Source organism: Homo sapiens, chromosome 10 (assembly GCF_000001405.40).
Source record: "Homo sapiens chromosome 10, GRCh38.p14 Primary Assembly".
Lineage (NCBI taxonomy): Eukaryota > Metazoa > Chordata > Mammalia > Primates > Hominidae > Homo > Homo sapiens.
This window is the reverse complement of record NC_000010.11, coordinates 59761077-59770113: the sequence shown is the minus strand read 5'-3', so window position 1 is coordinate 59770113 and position 9037 is coordinate 59761077. Positions and strand designations below refer to the sequence as shown.

General features: G+C 42.3%; 1 annotated feature.

Moving 5' to 3' along the window:
* Positions 7400-7947: an enhancer, noted in NCBI's record as "H3K27ac-H3K4me1 hESC enhancer chr10:61521925-61522472 (GRCh37/hg19 assembly coordinates)". NCBI's record gives its function as "activates a minimal SCP1, AML or CMV promoter by ChIP-STARR-seq in naive H9 embryonic stem cells {active_cell/tissue: H9 hESC(naive)}" and the evidence as "EXISTENCE:reporter gene assay evidence [ECO:0000049][PMID:30033119]".

Genomic DNA, 9037 nt, shown 5'->3' with positions numbered 1-9037 from the left:
CTGGTGTGAGATCTCTCCACAGTGGTTGAGAGAACTGCAGCATAAGCGAGGCAGAGAGAGAGAGAGAGAGAGAGAGACAGAGAAGAGAGAGAGGAAGAGACAGAGGCAAAAGGAAAATCAAAGAGAGAAAGAGAGATATATACAAGCAGTTAAGAAAAAAAACAGTGTACCCTATTCCTTTAAAAGCCAAGGTAAATTTAAAACCTGTAACTGATAATTGAGGGTATTCTCTGTTACCCTATAACACTCCAATACCACTTTGTTGTCAGTGTAAACAAGGGCATATCCTGAAAGCACTGAGGCCTTCCTATCAAAAATCCTTAACCCAGTAACCCGCGGCTGGCCCAAATGCATTCAATCTGTAGCAGCAACTGCTTTGCTAACAGAAAAAAAGCAAAAAAATAAGTTTTAGAGGAAACCTCATTGTGAGCACACCTCACTAGTTCAGTTCAGAACTATCCTAAATCAAAAAAGCAAAAAAGTAGCTTACTAACTCAAAAATCTTAAAGTATGGGGCTATTCTGTTAGAAAAAAAAAAGAAAGAAAAAAAGGGGGGTGGAATTTATGTAAAAAGAGTATTATATGGTAAATTCTTGTCCTGAAATAAATTAACTCATTGTTTAAAGAAAGAAATATTTGTAATAAGTCAGAAAGTTAAAGCATGTCAAAAAATTGTCTACAAAAGTCATGAAAGAGAAAAATGTTATAAAAAAATTTACACAAGAAATGTTGTATAATTTAAAAGTAACTAGGCCTCCTGAATGTAAAACTAAACAAACAAGCAAACAAACAAACAAAAAAAACAGTTTATGTGCAAGATGTATAAGGAAAGTAAAATATACCTTTGGTAAAAGAATTATAAGGAGGCATAAGAATATAAATTTTTACGTGCATTAAAAGGTTAAAAATATGTATATTTTGTTTTAAAGGTTTAATCAAGTTTTAAAATGTTAAATGGAAAGAAAATTCTGTGTGTAAACATTGGCTAAAGTTAAAGAGGTGTCATCCAGTTTTTCTGTAAACTGGACATTAAAATAAAAGCATAGCAGGTTTTTCTTAAAGCACCAACCTGCTCTTTAGCGAAAATTTTAAAAGGTTAAAAAGTGTCTGTAAAATCTTACCTTATGGTCAAACATTAAAAATTGGATAAATATGTCTACAAGGTTTTATTAAAATTAGGTTTAACATTAATAACACACTAAAATAAAGGTAAAATTTAGCTTATCTGGTATAAAAATCATATAAAAAGCATTGTTAATTGTAAAATGATATTTGGCTTTCTTTGGTTTAAAAACTAATAAAAATAGGTGCTAAAGGAGATTTCTCAGTAAAAAGGCACTGAGGACATAAAGTCCACTGCCAAGGACCCCACATTTAAAACAAAAGGTCAATTTCTTAAACATTATATACTTGGTTTATCTTCCACTTTCCTTTCCTTCAAAAACTAAAAGTCTTTTAGTACATGTACCACCCCTAGAATTTCCGGTAAACCAGCACCAGCCTGAAGATCACGTTCTCATCAAAGGGTGGAAAGAAGAAAAACTCGAACCAGACTGGGAAGGACCCTACCTTGTGCTACTAACCACCAAGACTGCTGTTCGTACAGTGTAAAAGGATGGACTCATCACACCCAAGTCAAGAAAGCACCACCCCCTCCAGAGTCGTGGGCCGTAGTCCCAGGGGAAAACTCTACCAAACTAAAGCTAAGAAAGATTTAACTCTTTTCATCTATTCTATTACTTTGTCTTCTTTCCTCGTTATTAACATAACCAAGTCAATTTCACCTCAAACTATTGCATTTAATGCTGGCCTTGTTATACCCTGTGGAGACTTGCTAATTCAAAGACAGCTTTCTACTTCAGAAAAGTACTTCTGTCCCTCCTGACTCTCCTCAGACTGGGCATTAGTAAACTAGGATCATTTAATCCAGAGAGATTTTGATAAAGACCCTAGTGCCAACCAGGAGTCTTGTCCCCCAATGCAGAGAGCAAGCTTTGGTAACTAGTTAGTCTAGCATTCGTTAGCTAATGATGTCCTTTGGTATTTATTAAAGTCACCACAGCATGGGAGGACTATGTTTATGCCATAGTTGGTCCAACATTCTGTGGACCACTAAAGAGCAAGGATGGACTGCTCCAACTGGTTTTTGTAATTTCCTAAAATCATACATTCATTTTACTAGAGGATCATAGAAGTTAAAGACTTAAAACCAACTTCAGCAATTAAGACAGGATACCAAGATGCAAATGTCTAGTTAAAATGGATCAAATATTCCATCTGCACGTTAAACAAAAGCAATTGTTATGCTTGTGCACATGGCAGGCCAGAGGCCCAGATTGTCCCCTTTCCACTAAGGTGGTCCTCCAGTCAACCAGGCATAGGCTGCATGGTAGCTCTTTTCCAGGATTCTACTGCCTGGCGTAATAAGTCATGCCAAGCTCTCTCTGCTATATCCAGAAGTCCAGCACCCTGCGGGTCAGCCCCCAAGGGCCATCCAGCTTCTGTCTCCCAACACTAAGTTCACTTCCTGCCTCTCATGACAGGGAGGAAACTTAGCATTCCTTGGAGACCTGAAGGGATGTGATGAACTTAAGAATTTTCAAGAGCTTATCAATCAGTCAGCCCTTGTTCATCCCCGAGCGGATGTGTGGTGGTATTTTGGTGGACCTTTACTGGGCGCTCTGCTAAATAACTGGAGTGGCACTTGTACTTTAGTCCATTTGGCTATCCCTTTCACCCTGACATTTCATCAACCAGAGGGAGAAAAAATAAGACATCATAAAGTGAAAGAAGCCCCTTATGGGTCTTTCAACTCTCACATCTATTTAGATGGAATTGGAGTCCTGCAAGGAATACCAGATCAATTTAAAGCTTGAAATCAAATAGCTACAGGACTTAAGTCAATATTTTAGTGGGGGACAGTCAATAAAAATGTAAATTAGATAAACTACATCTATTACAACCAATAGCAACAAGCTTTTCATGAGTTAAAAGAAAAACTCATGTCACCCCCAGCCCTGGGGCTACCTGACCTGACAAAACCCTTTACACCCTATGTGTCAGAAAAAGAAAAAATGGCAGTTGGAATTTTAACCCAGACTGTGGGGTTCTGGCCAGGGCCAGTGGCCTATCTCTCAAAACAACTAGATGGGGTTTCCAAAGGCTGGCTCCCATGTCTAAGGGCCCTGGCAGCAATGGCCCTGTTAGCACAAGAAGCAGATAAGCTAACTCTTGGGCAAAACCTAAACATAAAGTCCCCCCATGCTGTGGTGACTTTAATAAATACCAAAGGACATCATTAGCTAATGAATGCTAGACTAACTAGATACCAAAGCTTGCTCTGTGAAAATCCCCGCATAACCATTGTAGTTTACAACACCCTAAACCCCACCACCTTGCTCCCGGTATCAGAGAGCCCAGTTGAACATAACTTCGTAGAGGTATTGGACTCAGTTTATTCCAGTGGGCCCAACCTCTGAGACCATCCTTAAACATCAGTAGACTGTGAGCGGTATGTAGATGGGAGCAGCTTCGCCAGCCCCTGCAAAGTGACTCTGAAGAAGACGACAAGCCCTGCTCCAGTCACACCCGGAAGCTGACTCGTCCACGCACAGCTGAAGCATGAGAAAACTCATCACAGGACTCATTTTCCTTAAAATTTGGACTTGTACAGTAAGGACTTCAACTGACCTTCCTCAGACTAAGGACTGTTCTCAGTGTATACATCAAGTCACTGAGGTAGGATAAAAGGTTGCTATGGTCCTATTATTTTATGGTGATTATAAGTGTACTGGAACTCTAAAAAGAAATTGTTTGTATAATGTTATTCTATAGAAGGTATGTAGCCCAGGAAATGACCAACCTGATGTGTATTATGACCCATCTGAGCATCCCATGACCACAGTTTTTAAAATAAGATTAAGAACTGAAGACTGGTGGGGGCTCATAAACGATACAAGTAAAGTGTTAGCCAAAACAGAAGAAAAAGGTGCACAAACAAGTCACCTTAAAATTTGATGCCTGTGCAGTCATTAATAATAATAAGTTAAAAGTAGGATGTGGTTCTCTTAATTAGGAAAGAGGCTATATGGCAGAAAATAAGTACATTTATCATGAATTAGGACTGTGTGAAAATAAATGTAGATACTGGTCTTGTGTCATTTAGGCTACTTGAATAAAAAGTGAAAAAAATCCTGTCCACCTTCAGCAAGGGAAAAGTGGCCCTTCCTGTACCAGTGGTCAGTGTAACTCCTTAGAACTAGTAATAACCAACCTCCTTAATCCTCGCTAGAAAAAAGAGGAACTTGTAGCTCTAGAAATTGATGGAGCTGGACTGGATCTTCAAATAAATATCGTGGTTTGAGAAAAAGTTTATAAACGCTCTCCTGAGCCAGTATTTCAAACCTTCTCTGATAAACAAAATGTGCCAGTACCAGAAATTCCAGGAAAAACAAGAAATTTGTTTTTGCAATTAGCCAAGCATGTAGCCCAGTCTCTCAATGTCACTTCACGTTATGTATGTGGAGGAACTGTAATAGGAGATCAATGGCCATGGGAAGCCTGAGAATTAGTACCTCCAGACCCAGTTCCTGATGAATTCCCAGCCCAAAAGAATCACCCTGATCACTTCTAGGTCCTAAAAGCCTCAATCATTAGACAATACTGTATAGCAAGAGTGGGGAAGAACTTCACCCTTCCTGTAGGAAGACTCAGCTGCCTTGGGCAAAAACTGTATAATAGCACTACAAAAACAGTTACGTGGTAGAGTTCAAACCACACGAAGAAGAATCCATTCAGTAAATGTTGGGAACAAGCCCCCCAAAATCTGGCCATAAACTGGCCCCAAATCTGGCCATAAACAAAATCTCTGCAGCACTGTGACATGTTCATGATGGCCATAACGCCTACGCTGGAAGGTTGTGGGTTTACCGGAATGAGGGCAAGGAACACCTGGACCGCCCAGGGTGGAAAATCGCATAAAGGCATTCTTAAGCCACATAGCGTAGCATGAGCGATCTGTGCCTTAAGGACATGTTCCTGCTGCAGTTAACTAGCCCAACCTATTCCTTTAATTCGACGTGAGCCACTGCACCTGGCCCACAAATCTTTCTAAACTAAAGCTGACTGCATCTTGGCTGGGGCGCAGTGGCTCAGGCCTGTAATCCCAGCACTTTGGGAGGCCGAGGTGGGCAGATCACGAGATCAGGAGATCGAGACAATCCTGGCTAACATGGTGAAACCCCATCTCTACTAAAAATACAAAAAATTAGCCAGGCGTGATGGCGGGCGCCTGTAGTCCCAGCTACTTGGGAGGCTGAGGCAGGAGAATGGCGTGAACCTGGGAGGCTGAGCTTGCAGTGAGCCAAGATGGCGTCACTGCACTTCTGGGCGGCAGAGCAAGACTCCGTCTCAAAACAACAACAACAACAACAACAACAAAGCTGACTGCATCTTCCATCTGCATAAAAATAGCAAGAACTTTCATAATTCTTACTCTGTATACTTCTCAATGTTTCACACATGTTAACTCACTTAATCCCTGCAACAACTTTATGTGAGGATTACTATTATAATCTCCTCTTTACAGGTGAGAACTGAGGCATAGAGAGGTTAAATAACTTGCTTGGAGTTAAACTGCTAGTAAGTGATGAAGCAGGATATTAACAATTTGATATATCCCTGCTTATTCTGACAGTCTTGTCTCTGGCCACTTGTGCCTTATACTCTATCCTCCAGCAATGGCAAGCTACATTTCAGTCTCACCCCACCCGTATTCACTGTGCCCCCTTGCCATAGTTTTGCTCCTGCTGGGAGCCTGGCCTGGAATGCCTTCCCCAGTTGACTCCTTTGCAAATTCTTACTCCTCCTTTCAGAACTTGGCCCCAGCATCACCTCCTCCTTCTGTCAGTCTTCCCACCTGGCTCTCTGTGTTGCCCTTGCATTCTGGGTGCACCTCCAACTATTGGAGGGGCTGCTTTGTATTAGGTATTAGATGGAGAATTGAAACCAAGATCTAGAGGTGGTCCTCAGGATTCTATGGTCATTTAGGAAAAAGAAGCAAAAAGAAAAATCCCTGGAGTAGAACAGTATGAGTAGTCCAGGAAGGACAAGAATAGGGCACTTAGGGAAAATGTAATGCTGGAGTGTGGGGAAAACCTTCCTAGAGGGAGTGATGTTGAAACTGGAACTCATGGATGGAAAGGAATTCACAGGGCAGAATTGGGGAAAGGAAAGGATTTTAGACAGAAGGAACAGTGCTTGCAGGCTCAGAGCTAAGACCACTTATGGTAGGACTGGGGAAATTGCTGAGTGTGTTTATCCATTTCCTTATCTCTCCTACTTGACTGAGCTCCTAGGATGTCACATCTGCTGCACTGGGCTCAAGGAGGTCTCAATGGAATTAGACTGGAACCCAAACACTGGACTCTCTCAGCCTCTGCCTTGCCATCTGGTAAATGTTCAGGCAGTGTGAAGAGGCTGCTAAAGTCCTTTGGATTTCCTGAGATTCCATGACCTGCATAAATGAAAGAAGGCAATTTGGGAGGCTGAGGTGGGAGGATCGCTTGAGCCCAGGAGTTAGAGACCCAGCCTGGGCAACATAGTGAAACCTCATCTCTACAAATAATAAAAAAATAGCCAGGCATGGTGGTATGCATCTGCAGTCCCAGCCACTCAGAGGGCTGAGATGGGAGGATTGCTTGAGCCTGGGTGGTTGAGGCTGCGGTGAGCCGTGACCATGCCACTGCACTCCAGCCTGGGGACACAGCAAGAACCTGCCTCAAAAAAAAAAAAAAAAAAAAAAAAGGCATTGAGGGGAGGGCAAGCAGGAGTGCATCAGTCTGAGAGTCTTGGGAACCTGGAGATAATACTGAAGGCCTTGATTTTCACCTGTTTGTGAAAAAAAGAGTGTGATGGGGGGCAGGGAATGTAGTTGAGGCAAACCCAGACACTGCATACAGGAAGTGGAAAGCCTCTCACCACCAGTCCTGGGGCTGAGTATGAAGTCTGAAAGGCATTTCTAAATGCAGGATCCCTGTAAAGAGTCAAGAGACTGAATATACAAACAGACAGTGGCCACACTATAAATAAAAGTAGAACTCGAACTGAGAACCTGCTCCAAACCTGCTGCAAGCAGCCCTTGAAGCCAACCTACTGGCAATAGTAACCAATCCTGGAAGTCAACTAATGTAGGAGGCCAAATAATAACTCCTGTAGTAATCTGCACAAAACAGCCATAACTTGATTAATAACTGACAGCTTTCCTAATTTTTGCATTGACCTCCAGTTTAGGACCAACAAGATAAAGCAAATATGCAACCCTAAGCCACTACATAGGATGCTGCTTAGCTGCCCACAGCTTCCCCACACCAATAGCCTGAAGTCTTTTTATTCCCACCTACTATAAAGCATTCCCATTCCTCTACCTGCCTTTGTGTCTCTACCAGATGCAAATGATGATGGCTGACTCCCTCGCTAGGGCAGATTCTGAATAAACAGACTTTGTTTGTTCTCATTTGGGTGGTCCTTGTTCATTTCCACAGGCTGGAAAAGGCTCTCTGAAGCTCGGGATATTCCATTTACTTTCTTTCATTCTTGGATCCATTTCCTTTTCCTAGAACATTGGAGAATGTTTTTTCACCATCCACAAACATTTAGCAGGGCTGGGCATGTTTCTGCTGCAAAGAACACTTTTTACAAGATCAGAGATAGCACCTAGATTCCCAGCACTGCCACTGGTGCTGGTGATAGCCAGCAAGTCCTTTAGCCTTCTTATATCTTCATCCTCTTACCTGTAAAATGGGACTAAAGAAATTATTTTCTGGCTGGGCACAGTGGCTCATACCTGTAATCCCAGCACTCTGGGAGGCTGAGGCAGATGGATCACCTGAGGTCAGGAGTTCGAGACCAGCCTGGCCAACATGGTGAAACCCTGTCTCTACTAAAAATACAAAAATTAGCTGGGTGTGGTGGCACACGCCTGTAGTTCCAGCTACTCGGGAGGCTGAGGCAGGAGAATTGCTTGAACCCAAGAGGTGGAGGTTGCAGTGAGCCGAGATTGTGCCACTGCACTCCAGCCTGGGTGACAGAGTGAGTGAGATTCCATCTCAAAAAAAAAAAATTCTGCTTACCTGCTGGAACCAGACCCCATTGTCCTCCAGGTTCACATCTAGTGCACCTCTCAGCACTTTCTCACCGATCCCAGTCAAATAAAAACATTAAGACCTAGAAACACAGATTTTATTTGACAAGACTATTGCAGTAGGAGGGGGGGACTATTGTAAGAGGACAACACACAGACCACAAGATCTGCAAGAGTCTCAAGAGAGACCTCGGATGTGTGATCATGAAGGGCGGCTGCTCCATATGCCAATGCTGGCTCAGGTTAAAGGTGAGTCAAAGTTCAGGAGCTTGTGGGGAGGGAAGAAGCCTAGCTAAAGTTTGGTCAAGTCTTATTAGCGGGTATTTTGTCCACATTGGTGAGTGGGGACAAACAATTTGGGTAATCATTTATGAGACAAAACTTGGAGGGTTTGTGTCTGGCCTTGTCCTAAGTAAACAAGGGGGCATTCACGAGTCTTGTCTAAGTCGTGTGGGGAAGAGTGGTTCTTTGCTGTAAGCTGTTTGGAAGGACAAAGGGAAGAAGGATTTCCTGAGTGCGGTCTTCTAGGAGCACAGGGCTCAGGCAGAGTTCGACATTGTCATCCATTTATGGATGAATGCATAAACAAATGTGGTAGACGTGTTCAATGAAATATTATTCAGCCTTAAAAAGGAAGGAATTTGTACACATGCTACATCATGGATGAATCTTGAGGACATTATGCTAAGTGAAATATACCAGTCACAAAGTGACAAATATTATATGATTCCACTTATATGAGGTAGCTGAAGTAGCCACATTCATAGAAACAGATGTAGAAAGGTGGTTGCCCAGCCTGGTGGGGAGAATGGGGAGTTGTTTAATGAATACAAAGTTTCAGTTTTGCAAAATGAAAAGCTTTATGGAGACTTTGCACAACAATGTACACAAAAATGT